We start from the raw sequence: 18,058 nt of genomic DNA, 5'->3' as shown, positions 1-18,058 counted from the left end.
GGCCAGACTGGTCTCGAACTCCTGGCCTCAAGTCATCCACCAGCCTCGGCCTCCCAAAGTGCTGGGATTATAGGTGTAAGCCACCATACCTGGCCCACATCTCCTTATTTTTGATCAAGTAGAAAGTGCTAAAGCATCACGATTATGGCTTCAAATTGTCATTACTTCTAGTAATGCCATTTTCATGGGTAGGTGTGTGCATTTCACTTACCCTCCTTCACAAGTGTTCATCTATGACCAAAGAGTTGGACTTGATTTTTGGCTAGATTTGTCTAATATGTGGACAGTTTGTTAGTCAATCTGTATATTGGTATTATCCTTCCTGGAATAATAGAAGTAAGGCTCAATCTCAGGGATGTTTTGAGGACCAACGATGTCAGTAAGAACATCTAAATCTGGCCTGAAAGAGGTAAACAGTTATTGCCAGTGTACCCTATGTAGACTTCACCATGAAATAATTTTGTGCCTTCTTTTTCAGACAATATATGTTCCTCAGAAGTTATCCAGTCAAAAGCCGCTGCAGAGCAAATTATTTTTCCTTTTACTCTCTTATCAATTAAATATTTCTTCCAAGCGGCAAAAAGCACAAGATCACATCTAGGAAAGCAGTTAACCTCTAAAAAATGGGGATATAAACTATTGTGTGTGTGTGCCTATAAATGCTCACTTTCTTAAAAAACAGTTAAGAAATAGTTTTATTAATCTGGAGAAGAAAAAGCTGAGAAGCAATGCCACTCTTAGCTTTCTTGAGAAAGGATCTTGACATGCGGGGGAAGGAAGAGGTAGATAGCCTCTTATTCCATTACTAGGTAGATCTACAGCTAGCTACAAAGGCTGCCTCCCAAGAGTCAAATTTTAGCTATATGTGAGGAAGAACTTTCTAACATCTACAACTACACAATCATGTAATGCTCTGTTTGGGAAAATGATAAGACTCCGCTGGAGTGTTCAGTCAAAGCCAAATAGCCATCTTAAAGCTGTGGTAGAAGACATGGGGAAGAATCTAGAGCTTCTCACTCAAAACAAGGGAAGATGCAAAGTGCCTGGCAAAAGTTGGTAGGCTTCCTTCATGTAATGATAGCCCAAAAATAGGACACGCTAAACCAAATGTGAGGTGAGTGAAGTAGAACTGAAATCCATCCCTCCTCTCTACCACCAATATTCCTTTGTAAACAATACAAAGCCCATATTTTTGTGACTCAAACATTTTCTGGATGCTTTATTTGGAAGGATCCTGGATAAAGAAGCATGAATATGAGTAAGCCAAAAGCAATCAAAGCACCTGATGTTTACATTGTGGAGTAACACATTTTCAAGGAAGAAACTCATCAGTTAAGATTCCTTGTGATTTGTAATTTGTGACAATTCAAACACAGCTTTGTCTATGTCGCTACAGTTTATTTTCCCATTATCTATAGAAAATAGATCAATAAAATTAATGTAAACAAGAATGAATGTAGCCGGTGTTTCAATTTACTTGAGAACAAATTGTTTTCAAACACATTTACAACAACCCAAATGCATACAAACAGTGTGTTAATTGTAAATGAGTCTTATCTATCCATTCAACTAGCTCTAGCAGGGTGTTTATCTGCAGTGTCTCAGTAGCCCCCTTACTATTACTTTATATTATACATCACTGAAAACAATAAAACTGCATTTTCTCTTAAAATGCCTAAGGAGGGTGTATTTCTTCTGTAATATAAACATATTTTTTGATTAAAATTATTCAAAAGAAAATTAACAGACTCACCTGAAGACATATTCAAATATTTCTAATTGTGCTACTTTTGTAATAGGAGCACAGAATGGGTTATTAATCAACCTCATCAAGTTATAAAATAAATCTAAATTCTGTATACAAGTGTATGTGAGAGTGGGAGTGTGTGAATATATGTATACATGTGTGTTTTTGTGTGTGTACCTAACAGGACGGCTGTGTTGTCATTCATTTGCCAAATATTAATCAAATCCCTTTGTATGTTAAGCACTTCAAGGTATTTGGATACTCCATTGAAAACAAACCAACGAAACAAAAATTCCAGTACTTAAAGAATTTATATTCTAATTGGAGGAGACAGACAGTAAACAATAATCATAATTAACAGGTAAGTGCTTTTGAATGTGGAAAATGAAGAGGTTAGGAGTCTGGTTGGGGACAGGTTCGAACTGTAAAATGTGTGGGCCAGGTAGACTTAATTAAGAAGGCAGCATTTGAACAAAGATGGAAAGATGGTAAGAAATTCTATCGTCTGCATATTTGGAGAACGAGCAGTCCAGGAAGAGCACATAGGCAATGCAAAGACCCTAGTGTATTCAAGACATAACAAGAAAGCTAGTTTCTTAGTTTGAATGAATAAAAGGAGAACAGGAGGAAACAAGGTCAGAAGTAAAGGGGTCAGATGATATAGGGCCCTGGAGATGGTGGTAGGATATTGGCTTTTCTCTGAAATAGATGGGTGAAGAGCCTGACTATCAGGCTGGAAATCAGCACATGAATAAGCGATAATCATTTAGTTATTATTATTATTATCATCAAATATTCTATAGGGTCTCCAAGGCGGGATCATTACCCTACTTAACATAAGTAAGTGGAAATGAAATTTTTGTGACTTGCCCGAATTTGAAATGTCAGCTATCGGCAAAACCAAAGTCATAGCCTGATTTCTTATAATGCGCTTTCTTTAGGTGGTAATATAAATAGTTTCCCATCTTCTCAATAATATGACAAGTCGTTTGTCTTAGAGTATGTGTGAAGTGAGAACAGGCCTCATGGATGGCTGGAGTGGCATCTCAGGAAACTGCAAGCAATTCAGATTCCAAGTGGGATGGGAGGCACTAGGTTTCCATAAAATGCTCATACACTTGCTTTCAGAGAAACATGAAGGGATAATTTTCACAGTTCCCCCACTAAGGCTGTGCCTGTAAGCATATCCTCCCACTTGTGGATTTATTTGCCTTGGTGCACTGTGATGTCTGAGGCCTAACTGAATTGTCTGTAAGGTAGTTCTGTACTCAGAGTAGACTACAGGGGGAGCTCATCCTACTAATTTATGGCTTGTCTCATGCACAACCTGCAAAGGATGTTCTTCTAAGGGTCTACATCCCTATGGAGCAGATGTTTCCTCAAGAACACTCACTCCCAGCTGAGCTTTCCTCAAATAACCTTGCTCCTTGGACCTGAAAGACAGCTCTAGTCCCTCATTGTACATGTGACAAGCCCAAGCATGCCTGCTCTGCCATATAGTATCTATCATGATGCTAGTCCTGAAATTACACAAAGGCAATTACAGGGGGACAATGTCTCATCTCTGAGATGGAATCTGCAAAGATATAGGACTCCTCCCCAACCAGGTGGCAGTCAATGCCAGTGAATCCGACTACAGCAGCTGCCAGCTTAACAAAAAAACAAACAAACAAACAAACAAAGAAAAAAAAAGAAAAAAAAAACAGTGATATCTCTCTTTCTTTCATATTGGCAAACAACCCCTGTCATCTCCTCCTAGCTTTCTGATAGCCCACTTAATGGGTCAAATTAGTTGGCTCTTGCTAAGTCTTCTAGTAAAAAATTATTCTTTGCCACTTGTTTTCAGAGTTGCTTTAAGAGGCCCATAGGGGCAGGCAAGTCAGAAAATGAGAACTCTTTAACAAACAAGGGCAAACCTCCCTGTCCCTGATGTAGAGGAAAAGACCTACAGGCTATTAAAAGGACCTCCCTCTGATTAATAAGAGTATTGACCTCTGGTCTAAATCAATTTTTGTGGAAGAAAGAAAATGGACTCTTGGAGAGGTAGGACAGAGTGGTAAAGCACTTAAAAAAAAATAAATAGCAGTCATTTCCCTTCTGCATACACTGTGTACACTGGCATGCTACCCTTCCTAGTGATCTGCAGAGATTCTGACCTGGGGTTTTCCATTCTATTGCACTCGCTGTTGCCACCTGCTGGTGACATATCATGATTGACATACATACATAGTTGGGGGAGGAATTTTTATGGGAAGCACAAATTGCAAACTTAAGGCCACATCAATAGTCTTTATTCCCTGGGGACTCAGTCTTTCTGGAGATGGGAAAATATGTGTCCAGAAAGCAAAAGAAGAGGATGCTACTTATACTTTCCCTTCAAGAAGTTCAATATGTTTCAGTCCTATTATTCCACCAACACAAGAGATTCCTTTACTATCTTTCTATGGGGCAAGTTGGGCATGTATCCTCGTGACCACTACAGATGTGCTATCTTAATCGTGTATGTTGAAGACTAAATGTTTTCAGTGTAATAGAACTTGACCTCAAATAGAAGATTGCTTTTAGTTTCCCTTAAGCAAACACGGAAGGCAAAAGAGAAACCCCCCTGCCTGTTTCAAGGTGCCTGGAGCTGAGAGGTTGCAGCACATCCCATCATTTATGAAAGAGCTCTCAGAAGTATACAGCCCTACGTTCCCAGAAAACCTCAAGGTAAGCAAGTTGTTTGAAGTAAAGCAAGTCTATTTTTTAAAGGCCCATGTCGAGCTGTAATTTGCTGAGGAATAAGAAATGAAAATACGTTTCCTTAGATTTCTCCACACTCATAAATAGCCAATACCATAGTGCATGTTTCCTTGGAAATTCAGACACATTCAAAGCCACGGTGCATAGCTATACATGTTTAACTTGTAAATTTATTGTGATAGAATAGGAAGGTTTAAAATGAAAATACACCAAGTATCAGGAAGTTCAAGAGTTAAAGTCCCCACAGCAACCTTAACACACACTCTCAGTGTATAAATGTCACATCATAAAGAAGTTTAAGAAATTTTCTTCAGTAGTAATGTCCAGTATTGAATATTCCCAGTATGGACAACTTAACACCTATATGTATTCCCATTATGTGTTCTAATTTTTAAAGGGAATTGTGTTTTAATGTAGATATTCATATTTCATTCATTCATTTCATTCATTCATGCCCTGGGTCTTGTCTCTTCTCAATAAATTTTATTTAGGTTATCCCATCCAGTTCCACAGCTTTAAATGCTACCTATATTTGAGATATTCTCTCTCTCTCTCTTTTTTTATTTTAGAAGCAGAGTCTGACTTTGTAGCCCAGGGTAGAGTGTAGTGGTGCGATCACAGCTCACTGCAGCCCCGAACTTCCGGGCTGAAGCAATTCTTCCACCTCAGCCTCCCTAGTAATTAGGACAACAAGCAGTTGCCACCACACCTATTTATTTTTATTTTTATTTTTTGTAGAGACAGGGTGTTGCAATACTTTCCAGGCTGGCCTTGAACTCCTAGCCTCAAGCAATCTGCCTCACTTGGATGCCAAAAGTGCTACGATTACAGGCATGAGCCTCTACACCTGGCCCTAGTGATTATTAAATCCATTTCTCCATTCCTAATTTATCCCCATAATTTTGGAATCATAGCCAATTGCCAACTGTCATCTCTATTGAAAAAAGGGTCTACTTCTGGGGCCACTTGTGTAGCTGTTGGCAGGCCTCCATTTCTTGCTGGCTGTTGATCCTTGCCACACAGGCCTCTCCTTAAGGTAGCTCAAAACTTAGGAGCTTGTTTCTTTCAGAGCAAGAGATCCAAGAAAGAGAGAGACCAAGATGGAAGTCATAGCCTTTATAACCTAGTCTCAGAAGCAGCAGACCATCACTTCTGCTGTACTCTATTGGTTACATTGAGACTAACCCTGGTAAAATGCAGAAGACTTCCAAAGGGTGTAAATACCAAAAGGAGAGAATCACTGAGGGCAAATATGGAAGTTAGCTATCATAGAATCATAGCTCCAGTCTTCACCCTCTATTGCCTGGATACCTGAAATTGCCTTCTATTCCATCTTTCTGCTTCTCTCCTTGCCATCTATTAACCACTCAGCAGCCAGAACTATCTTTTTTAAAACATAAATTATTCTTGTACTTAAAACCTACAATGGCTCCCCATTGCACTTAAAATAAGATCCAATCTCTTAATCTGGTTCCTGCCCAGCTGTCAACCTCATGTTCCCTCACTGCCAACACTGTGGGTATACTTCTGTTCCTCCAGCAAACCAGATTGTGTTCATTTTCCTTTGAAAGATTTAGGTCACAGCTTAAATATGAAGTCTAGAAGAACGAGCCCAAACTATCCCCTCAAAAGTATTCACTCAGCCACTACCATACCCAATTGTCATTTCTGCCCCATTCCCTCTACCCTTCACCACAAACACAAGTGTACTTCATACCTGCTAATAGAATCCTGATGTGTCCAAGAGCAGGTAAAGAGACCTTGATCTTGGGGAATGTGGCCTCCTCTTAGCCACAGGAGATGATTCATGATTGCTCTATATAACAGGCAAGGTAATCCTTTGCTCTTTGTCAACAAAGCAAAAGGATCTAGAAATCTCCTGAAGTCCTCTACTGACCAGTGAGAGGTGAGAGGTTGTCTGTTAGGGGCTGTTCTTCCAAGGGAAAAAAAATAGCAAGTCTAATGAGGAGAGTGTGTCTTGCCCCTCCCACTGCCTTTCTGAATGTGACTCTACTATGAAGAAGTAATGCCTGGAGCTGCAGCAGCCATCTTGTGACTATGAAATAAGCAGCATGATGATGAAAAACCAACATACTAAGAATAGTTAAACTGGAAAATATAAAGAGCTCAGGACTTTTATCTTTGAGCCACTACACCAAATCCTCTTCCACCAACCTCTAGACTCCTTGGCATGTAAAATAATTACATATGTTAATCACTTAAGACCATTGGTCAGAGTCTTCTGTTACACACAGCTGAAAGTATTCCTAATTAGTACAAATACCTGATGACAAAGAACAAGCAGAATTACTGCAGCCTATAATGTTCTTGCTAAAGCAGGAATATTCAACCCATCAGCAACTCCTTTACTTCCTTTTATTCTTGACTTGTAGAGGCAGGATCTTAGAAAGCTGCTCATCTTAGTGACCATGGCATCCATGCCTAAGGTACAACTTGCCCCTTGGTTATCTTTTGACAGCTGTACCTTGCAGAGCACTCATTGAAGAAAATTTAGATGCCTTTACTATTATTCACCCAGGAGGAGTATTTTTAAACCTTCTGAAACTTACTGACTACCTGGCATGACAAGAAGGGCCTGTGCCTTGAAGTTGGAATTTAATGCAATGGTTGGTTATTCAGCTTTATGACAGCTTTTCCTATTCCTTACCACCAGTCTTGATCAATATTCAATTTCCGTATAGTGTCTTGCACATTCAACTGGTCTCCCTATTTGCACACTTCCTCTACACACCCCGGACTTGTCTCCCCCTAATAGTCAGGGTAAGCCCTCTACAATGTAAGTCAGATTACATCACTCCTCTGCCCTGATCTTCTCAGGATTTCACATGTCAGGGTTAAAGCTGAAGTCCTTACAATGGCTTACAAAGTTCTCTAAACTATTGCCCCCCTTTTTACTCTGATCTCATTGCTTATGACTCTTCCACCTGCTTGCTTCTCTTGGATAAATTAGCCTCCTTTCTGTTTTTCAAAGAAGTCAAGTATTCTCCTACCTCAGGCCTTTTGCACATGCTGATTCCTCTGCTTGAAAAACTTTCTCCAGCTACCTGCATGACTTGTACATCATGTTATGTCTCTACAGAAACATGATATTACAGATGAGACTTCTGTTGCACATCATATATAAAACAGCAACAGCTCCACCCCTACACACATAGCACCTCCTCTGCAGCCTTTTAATTTTGGCTTTTTTTTTTTTTTCCAAAAAAACACTTATTACAACTGATACAGTTTCAATATTTGTTCCCACTAAACCTAACGTGAAAACGTGACTCCCCACAGTTAGAGGTGGGGCCTGCTGGGAGGTGTTTGGCTTATCGGGGAAGATCCCTCATAAGTAGCTTGGTGCCCCTCCCACAGTAATCGAGGGTTACTCACTCTGTTCGTTACAATGAGATCTGATCACTAAAAAGCATCCTGGTACCTCATCCCCTCTCTTGTGCTCCCTCTCTTGCCATGAGTTGTCTGGTCCTGCTTTGCCTTCCACTACGACTGAAAGTTTGCTGAGCTCACCAGAAGCAGATGCTGGCACCATGCTTCCTGTATAACCTGCAGAACCATGAGCCAAATAAACTTCTTCTCATTATAAATCTCCCAGCCTCAGGTATTCCTTTATAGCAATGCAAAACGGACTAACACTACAACCTGATTCAGTATCAGTTATTTTTCTATTTGTTTATTGACTGTTGTCTTCCTCCCATTGTCACATAAGCTCCTTAAGAACAAGGACTTCGCTTGTTTTGTTCAATGTGTTTACAGAATTTAAGAAGCATGCACACCATGCAACAGGTACTACATGAATATTTGTTCAATGAGTAAACAAATGAGTAACTTTATCATGGATAGTGAATTCACGTCACTGCTCTCTGACTCAGTGTCCTCATTTATAAAGCAAAAGAATAAAAGTTAAGAGATCTCCATGTTTTTTCCTTGTTCTCTTATTCCACATAAATCAGAGCAAAGGCTGGATTCTAGCTCGAGAACCAAGGGAATGAGCATCGGTCCAGAACCAAAATGGGTTGTCTAGGCCTTCCACCCGCTGAGTTTCTGGGTGGCCCCAGAACACTTAACTGTGTCCTTTAAGTTCTCCACCTATAAAACAAGGTTAACATTTACCTACCGCACAGGGAAGTAGGAAGCATTAATTAATGCCTGTAAAATACCCTGGTATTTCTCAATTAAAAGATTCAATTAGAGTAAATTGTTACTATTAGATAAATTAAAATGATAATTCATACATGAAGCCCAGCTTTAAAAAATAAGAAACCATCATGTACATTGTAAAACAATCTACAAAAAGCTCTACCCAAAAGAAAAGAAAAAGAGTTTTTCTAAGTTTTCATCATCTAACAAGTAACTCAGTTTCAAAGAAGTTGCATGCCAACTTTTACTAACCTAGAATGTTCCCTGGTTGTCAAATCTAGTTCTGTATATGTGACTGAGATTACAGGTCAAAAGTTAGCATTAAAGAGAAAAAGAAGTACATTTTAGCACATTGCCTGCTTTATGTATCTTACCCTTAAAGACCAAAAGAAAAATAGATATTTCATTTTTACTTATTTATTTGAGACAGGGTCTTGCTCTGTTGCTCCAGCTGAAGTGTAGTGGTGCAATCATGGCTTACTGCAGCCTTGAACTTCTGGGCTCAAACAATCCTTCTGCCTCCGCCTCCTGAGTAGCTAGGTTTACGGGTATATGCCACTGAACCCAGCTAATTTTTTATTTTTATTTTTTTTGTAGAGATGGGATCTGTCTATGTTGCTCAGCCTAATCTTGAACTCCTGGCCTCAGGCGATCCTCCCACCTTGGCCTCGCAAAGTGCTAGGATTACAGCATGAGGCACCACGCCTGACCAAAGACACATATTTTAAAGCACAAAATATTACAAAGAAAGCACTAAAATTGCTAGTATTTGTAAAGACAACCAAGATTATTCAAGAAAAAGAATACAGAGAGCTATATTTTAAAATACTAACACTATGAAATAGAACTGAAGCTTTATTAACAGAGCATCCTTTGTCAAGCTAAGACTCTTTATTTAAATAACCTCATTAAAATAAACTTTAAATCATTTTAAAATTCATTCTGCCCAAAGAAAAGGCTTGCCCACATCTTGGCTGCATTTTCAGCAAACTTTTTCAAAACAATTTTTTTTAGTACTATCATGAAAGACAAGGTCATGGCAATGCATCTCCTTCCTTCCCTCTCTCCCTTCATACTCCCTTTCTTTTTTCTTTCAAGAAGGTCCTTGGTCATGAAGGTCCTTAAAGAGGATCTACTTGGCTTGTCTTCTAGAGGAAACCTGGGAGGCTGCTTCTTGAGGACCCAACTGGCCTCCTGGGATGATGGGGTCGATTGGTGATGCCCAGAGAAGACTAAGTTTAGGAGTCAGAACACACAAGGGTGTGTCTGCTCAACAGGTAAAGAAAGGTGATTTGAGTGGAGAGCTAAACCAATTCACTTCTGTTTTCTTTAGACTCTACCCCCTTCCCGCCCAATCTCCAGTTAACCCACTCTTGAGTCACTAAGGATGACACATGTAAAGACTTTTCTAAGTAGCAAAAAAGCCTATGTAAACCTTCAAAATCATTATCACCTGCCAGATCTCCTTTTGGGGAGTGAATTTCATTGGTACCAGATTCAAATTATGGTTTCTCCTCCCAGAAAACAGCACATAAAAATGGAATTTTATGTACAATTTCAGGAGATTTAAAATACCTCTAAGAATCATAGGCTGGGTGCAGTTGCTCACACCTGTAATCCCAGCACTTTGGGAGGCTGAGGTGGGAGGATCACTTGAGATCAGGAGTTCAAGATGAGCCTGGCCAACATGGTGAAATCCCATCTCTACCAAAAAATAAAAAAATAAAAATTTAGCTGGGCACGGTGGTGCACGCCTGTAATCCCAGCTACTTGGGAGGCTGAGGCACGAGAATCACTTAAACCCGGGAGGCGGAGGTTACAGTGAGTGGAGATTGTGCCACTACACTCCAGCCTGGGCGACAGAGACCCTGTCTCAAAAAAGAAAGAAATCATGAATCCCAGACACTGTGACTGGTGAGCACAAGATTAGGAAAACCTACTTGAGGAGTTCTACAAAGGGTCTCCAGTGGTACCATGAATTCCTTGAAATTGTGGACTTTTTCCTAGAAAAGTTTTGTTTAGCTTTCATCATGATAGCAAGGGTGTCTGTGACCTGCTTGAGGTTGTGAATATCTGAGCTCCTTGAAACCTTAATTTTGCTCCCCTTGCCAGAGTCTGATTTTCTTGAGGAGATCGGCATGGCTTCATCATCTTTTTTTATTTACTGGCACATGAAGTGTTTAATAAAGATTTGTGGGATGAATAAGTCAGTTAACCAATCAAAAAAAAAAAAAAAAACCCAAGCTGCTTCAATAAAATATTTATTGCCATAAAATAGTAAAAAAAAGAAAAGTCAACCAGAAACATAGAAAGCTATATATACACAGATAGTCTCATGCATTTTATTCCCGGGTACTTTCAGATATTTTCCAGAATAGGTGTATAAGTCATGTGAAGAATATCTTAGATTTAAGCAGCAGGTTCATAATCAGAATTTCCATGTGAATAGAAGTTATATAGATGACTGACAGCTTCTTAAACTTTAATGTGCATACAGTTTACCCAAAGATATTTTGAAAATGTTGATTCTGGTTGCACAAGTCAGAGTGAGGGCCTGAGAGTTGCATTTCAAACAAGCTCCCAGGTGATGACCAGCCTGCAGACCATACTTGAAGGAGCAAAGACATAACTGAACAGAGGAAGTGGGTGTTAAGATTCTATTTTCTACTCACCGCCTCACTACCTTTGGGACCAGAGTTTAAATGGCATTTATGGATGAATTTAAGGTAAGGAAAAAGTTCATAACAAAGTGACTGAATGGCTGTGTTGTAGAAATGCCATTTATCTCCTCTATGATCCAGTTGAAAGCCAATCAGATTAGATATACAGTCAGACACAGCTTGATTGGATTTTTCCACATTCCACCTAATTATATGGGTATAAAGACAGCAGATACTCCCCTGGTATTTAGGTTTTTACTGAACAAAACCACAATTTTTTTTTTAATCCAACTGTTCAATATGATCATATTGTCAGGGAGGGTAAAGGATCTTACTCAAAATAAGAATTTCAGGGCAGAATGTTGCATACATTATTTAACAGTGTGTTGCCCTTCTTTCTCATTTGTTCTTTAGTAATATAGCCCCGGGACCTTTATCCCCTTTTCTTTTACCCCAGAAAATTACCAGGTGAAGTTCTATTACTCTCACCTTTCTCTTTACAATTTCTCTATGCTCCTAAAATACATTTACTAAGAGAAGGTGTTCATTTTCATCTTATGTACTTATAACTCCCTACATAACTTTTTAAAGTTTTTGAAAGGGCAGATTTTAAGAGCTTCATACTCTTGCTTCAAGTATACATGTTAATGGGCATCAGTAAAACCAGGGTTTCAGGAGTTTTCTTCTACTAGCAGGATCTTTTATTGAAAATAAATTCCAAAGGTTCTCATTCCTCTTCCCCTGTGATGAATTACTCTTCCACTGTTTAAATTGACAAAAGTTTATTTCTAATGAAAGAAACATTTTAATATTCCAATTGACAGTGTTAAACAATGGCATTCATAGTTTACCCATTTTCTTCCAAAGGAGACTTGGAATGGGCCAAGCCTTCATGTCGGAGAAGGAAAGTGGACTGACCACATAAGCACACAGGAAAGAACAGGAGACAAAGGCTCAGGGACTCTGAGCTTGAATCCTAGCACAGCTTGCAATCCTCACACTGTAGAGCAAGCGGCTTCTCCTATGAGTCTCTGTAAATGGTGGCAACAGTTCGGAGTTAATATGAACTCTGGATGAGTCGTTGGTTCTAGTTCCTACCCCGTCCCATGAGACTGTGACAGGATTTGTTTTTCCTTCGTGACTTCAGCTTCTTTATCTGTGAAAGAGGGAGTTGAGTAAGTTGGTCTGTATTGATGATTACAGTTCTAAAAGTTGATTCTGTGGAACCGGACTGGGACCACTGGAGAATGCAGGTCTACAGGGCACACACAATGTTCAATGAGTGCCTACCCATAACAGGGGTGTGAGCAGCCTTATTTTTGCTTCACCTTTTTAAACTGATTGTTGGATGATAGTGCTGCTGGTAAATTTTGCAACCCATATTCCACTGCTTTTCAGACAGTTATTTAAAAATAAAATAAAACAAAGAAACAAAAGACCCTTGCATCAGGCTTGAGTTTACATATAAATACAGTTAGCTTGGTAGATTAATGAAGAACCAGCCAATACAAAAAAAAAAAATCAGACCATACATAAATATAAGGGAGGAAAAAAGCCCAACAACTCCAAATTTAAATGGAAAACATATTTTTTGACAAGAGAACTACTTAGCACAAGAAAGATATGCCTTAACATTGTGACGTCTTGTCCCAGCATCATGAAGTTATATACTGTATAGGTATTTTTTATTTTTTTGCATTTCTAGTAGCTAAAACCACACATTGCTATACTGTAGCTTTAATGAATGGAGTTTTCAAAAAGTTTCTTTCTTGACTGTTTCCCTGTATTATCCTGTTACAGTATATTGGGCACAAGGGGGCACTGAAAGAGTGAACAATTCCATCTGCCATACTGGAACTACCACACCTAGGTGTTCACCTTTCACTCGGCCACAACTGTGGCAGTGGCTTTCTCCCTGCCCTCCTTCCTTTTTTCTTTTTAATGCCTGCAAGGAATGTGTGTAAATACCTTGGTCACCTGAAGGGAAATTCATTTGACCCATAGATAACATCATCTTACATGGCCTTTCTAAGAATATACATGCCACATCGTCATCTTTCATTCACTAAAATGCCGCACAGTGGTAGCCAGAGTCTACCACTTGCCTACCCGATATTCATATTACCCTTCCTTTTTACTAACAGGATCCTTATGTTGTTGAGGGCAGGTACAACTACATTTCCCCACCTCTCTAGAAGATCATGCTGGGTAATAAGATGGAAGAGGAAGTCTTTGTCTGGGTCATCTAAGAGAGTTATCTAAAGGGGGCCTGCTGAACTAGTAGGAATATTTTCTCCCTTGCTCATTCTTTCTGCTTATGAAATGGATGCTATGGCTGGTTGTTGTAGCAGCCATCGTTCTATTCTGAAACAACCATCAGGGAACCATATGCTAATGATGGTAAAACAGAAGGAAAGAACCCGCTAAGACCGTGGTAGGGCTATGGACTTTCATTTCATCTCTGCACTACCTCCTTTCAACTCTCTTGTTATATGAAAGGAAATATATATATCTGGTTTAATATACTATGATTTGGGACTCTTTAGCATCACAATAAAGGTATTTGAGAATGCAATTCCCAAATGATACATCCCCAAAATACCATAGTTATCAATGCAGATTAATTATATGTAGCAAAGGAATTGAACCAGAGAAATTATTGCACTGAGCTTCTCTACAATCCCATGAAAGATGATGCATTACCGTAGAAAGGCATGAGCTAATAAACATCTTTTAAATTTGATTGGACAAATATAAAATAGCAAGTAGTGTTCACTCGTGGGTAGTCTTTTAGTGAATCCCAGTAAATTGCAATTCTCCTCTAAATTACTGTTGTTTTATCTGCAAAGGTAACTGTCCTTGTTAGTAGCTCATTGGATTCCACACTGGCCACCCCAGCGGGAAGAGCAACAGGGTCAGTGCAAAGCTCTGTCCATCTTCACTCTTCACCGGAATGGGCAGGCAGCTGCACTTCTCAGAATTTCCCCTCTCAGTACCCTGGTCAGCAGCCTCACCCTGAATTCTCACCATACCAACACCCTTAGCAATCACCCCATTCTCATCAGGGACCCTGTCTCCATCCTGCTGGTAAAAGAAGACTACAGAAACCAGCAATCCCAAAGCACCTTCTTCTATGGGGAGATCTAGGCTTCTGTTTATTTTCATCACATTGGTTAACTTATATTTTAAATTTCCTTACAATTTGCACTATTCTTTTTTATGTCTTCTTAGTACATGGAAAATTTAATCTATCACAAAAAGTGTTATTAGTCTGTTTTCACACTGCTGATAAAGACATACCCAAGACTGGGCAATTTGCAAAAGAAAGAGGCTTAATGGACTTACAATTCCACGTGGTTGGGGAAGCCTCACAATCATGGCTCAAGGTGAAAGGCATGTCTCACGTGGCAGCAGACGAGAGAAGAGAGCTTGTGCAGGGAAATTCCTCTTTTTAAAACCATCAGATCTCGCGAGACTTATTCACTATCACAAGAACAGCATGGAAAAGACCTGACCCCAGGATTCAATTACCTCCCACCAGGTCCTTCCCACAACATGTGGGAATTCAAGATGAGATCTGGGTGGGGACACAGCCAAACCGTATCAAAAAGAAAACGAATGAAAACATTTTTTAAGTGTGAATCTTTAAATTATCAAAATGTGGTAATATGTTTTTGGGAATCCAGTAAAAAGACATTATCATTGTGAAATATTAGTCATTGGCTTATGGAATAATCAGGAGTATGAGGCTCCAACTATTAGATAACTTCTGATGGAATGCCCTATTCTACAAGAAAATGACAGTGCCTGGCATTACAGGTCTCTTTTTTTTTATTATTTTCATTTTTTATTTTTTTGAAACAGAGTCTTACTCTGCTGGCCAGGCTGGAGTGCAGAGGTGCAATCTTGGCTCACTGCAGCCTTGACCTCCCAGACACAAGTGATCCTCTAGCCTCAGTTTCCTGAGTAGCTGGGACCACAGGCGTGCACCACCACACCTAGCTAATTTTTTGTATTTATTTGTAGAGACAGAGTTTTGCCATGTTGCACAGGCTGGTCTCAAACTCCTGAGTTCAAGCAATCCATCCACCTCGGCCTCCCAGAGTGCTGCTTGGGATTACCGGCGTGAGCCACTGCACCCAGCCTGTAATATATTTTATACAGAATTTGCATCATTAAAAAACTAATTTTTTTCTTTTTTTTATTATACTTTAAGTTCTAGGGTACAGGCGCACAATGTGCAGGTTTGTTACATAGGTATATATGTGCCATCTTGGTTTGCTGCACCTATCAATTTGTCATTTACATTAGGTATTTTTCCTAATGCTATCCCTCCCCCAGCCCCCCACCCTCCAAAAGGCCCCGGTGTTTGATGTTCCCCACCCTGTGTCCAGGTGTTCTCATTGCTCAACTCCCACCTATGAGTGAGAACATGCAGTGTTTGGTTTTCTGTTCCTGTGTTAGTTTGCTGAGAATGATGGTTTCCAGCTTCATCCATGTTCCTGCAAAGGACATTAACTCATCCTTTTTTATGGCTGCATAGTATTCCATGGTGTATATGTGCCACATTTTCTTTATCCAGCCTATCATCAATGGACATTTGGGTTTGTTCCAAGTCTTTGCTATTGTGAATAGTGCCACAATAAACATGTATGTTCATGTGTCTTCATAAAGGCATGATTTACAATTCTTTGGGTGTACACCCAGTAATGGGATTGCTGGGTCAAATGGTATTTCTAGTTCTAGATCCTTGAAGAATCACCACACTGTCTTCCACAATGGTTGAACTAATTTACACTCCCACCAACAGTGTAAAAGCTTTCCTATTTCTCCACATCCTCTCCAGCATCTGTTGTTTCCTGACTTTTTAATAATTGCCATTCTAACTGGTGTGAGATGGTATCGCATTGTGGTTTTCATTTGCATTTCTCTGATGACCAGTGATGATGAGCATTTTTTCATGTGTCTGTTGGCTGCATAAATGTCTTCTCTTGAAAAATATCTGTTCATATCCTTTGCCCACTTTTTTATGGGTTTGTTTGTAAGACCGAAAACCATAACAACCCTAGAAGAAAACCTAAGCAATACCATTTAGGACATAGGCATGGGCAAAGACCTCATGACTAAAACACTAAAAGCAATGGCAACAAAAGCTAAGATAGACAAATGTGATCTAATTAAACTAAAGAGCTTCTGCACAGCAAAAGAAACTGTCATCAGAGTGAACAGGCAACCTAAAGAATGGGAGAAAATTTTTGCAATCTACCCACCTGACAAAGGGCTAATAGCCAGAATCTACAAATAACTTAAACAAATGTACAAGGTAAAAAATCTAATTTTTAACCCCCAAATGCCTTGTTATATTGAAAGGAAATTTCACGGCTTGTGAGAAATAAATCATATCCTACTGTGATTTCTTTAAATAGATAGTGGATATATATTCTCACATTTAGCTGAGGTCCTATCCATGGACACAGTCTTTTAAATTGCAGAGTTTAAATTAAACATAGATAATTGGTTTTTAATTCAAAAGATAATTAAATACTGAGCAGGCTATGTTAAATAAGGTTATAACATTTCAGGCTGGGCTCTTTTAAAGTAAAACAAAAAGCATCAGACATAGGAGACAACCAACCAGTAGTTGATTTCACCCCTAGAGATGCTTTCACCTCTGTATATTTAGTCTGCAACTCAAAACTCATATCTGGATGTAGCTATTAACAGTTTCAGTATTGTGTTTTTCTAATGTTAAGCAGAAAATATGTATGCATACATTATAAGTAGTAACATAAATATTTTCATATTAAAGGTATTGTGTATATACGCCCCAACTAGGAGTAAACACTCATCTGTAGAAGAAACTTAGCAAGGTAACCTCCTCTCCCTCACTTTGTTTTCAAGTGAAGAAGCTAAAATAAAGACATTTTGCACAAAAAGGCATAAGTAAAGCTAGGTATCATGACTACCGTTTTCCCAGTTTGCAGTACTTATTCCATTAGACTCTCTCTATCCAGCATGTAGTCTGCAGACCGACAGCAGCAACATGTCTTGGGGACTTGTTGAAAACATGTAATCTGAGGTCCTATCTCAAACCTACCAAATCCATATTTAAAAAAATTCACCAGGGGATTCATAGGCTGATTGGAGTTTGAGAAGCACTGCTTTATGCTCCACACAATCTAACTGAATTACTACATTTTCCTAGAAGTTGGAGAATAATGCAATCAAAATGTCTCAACTCTCTGAATAGAAATATTACAGAAATTCAAGTTAATGCCAGAAATATACATTTGCATCAAATTTAACTCAGGTGCTGACTTTAAAACGTTACCCTCCATCCAATGAGACTCCACAAATTCTCTTAATCCTCATGAACAAGCAATCAATTAACATAAATTAACATTTGAATGCTTACTATTTTAAAAAGTAAGTAAACCCCAGAAAGATAAGAAGACACAATTAGCCTCACCCACCCGTTCCCTTTTCACCCCTAGGAAAATGCTAGGACACAGATGGTTTCCCGGTGTCTGCATGAAGGTTAATTCTTTGATTCCTTCTTTTGGTCTGGTGTAAGTGTTCTTTAAGCTTTTGTGAAGATCATTGTTATATTAAATACACACCCACACATATTCTTTAGAAATGACGTAAGAGATTTTTCAATGGCCATTTTTTACCATTCTCTATTTTTACTCTAAAAATACACTTGAGAATGTATCCCCACGTAAGCTGCTTACATTTTTTAAAAATG

Source organism: Homo sapiens, chromosome 20 (genome assembly GCF_000001405.40).
Source record: "Homo sapiens chromosome 20, GRCh38.p14 Primary Assembly".
NCBI lineage: Eukaryota > Metazoa > Chordata > Mammalia > Primates > Hominidae > Homo > Homo sapiens.
This window is presented reverse-complemented; position numbering follows the sequence as displayed.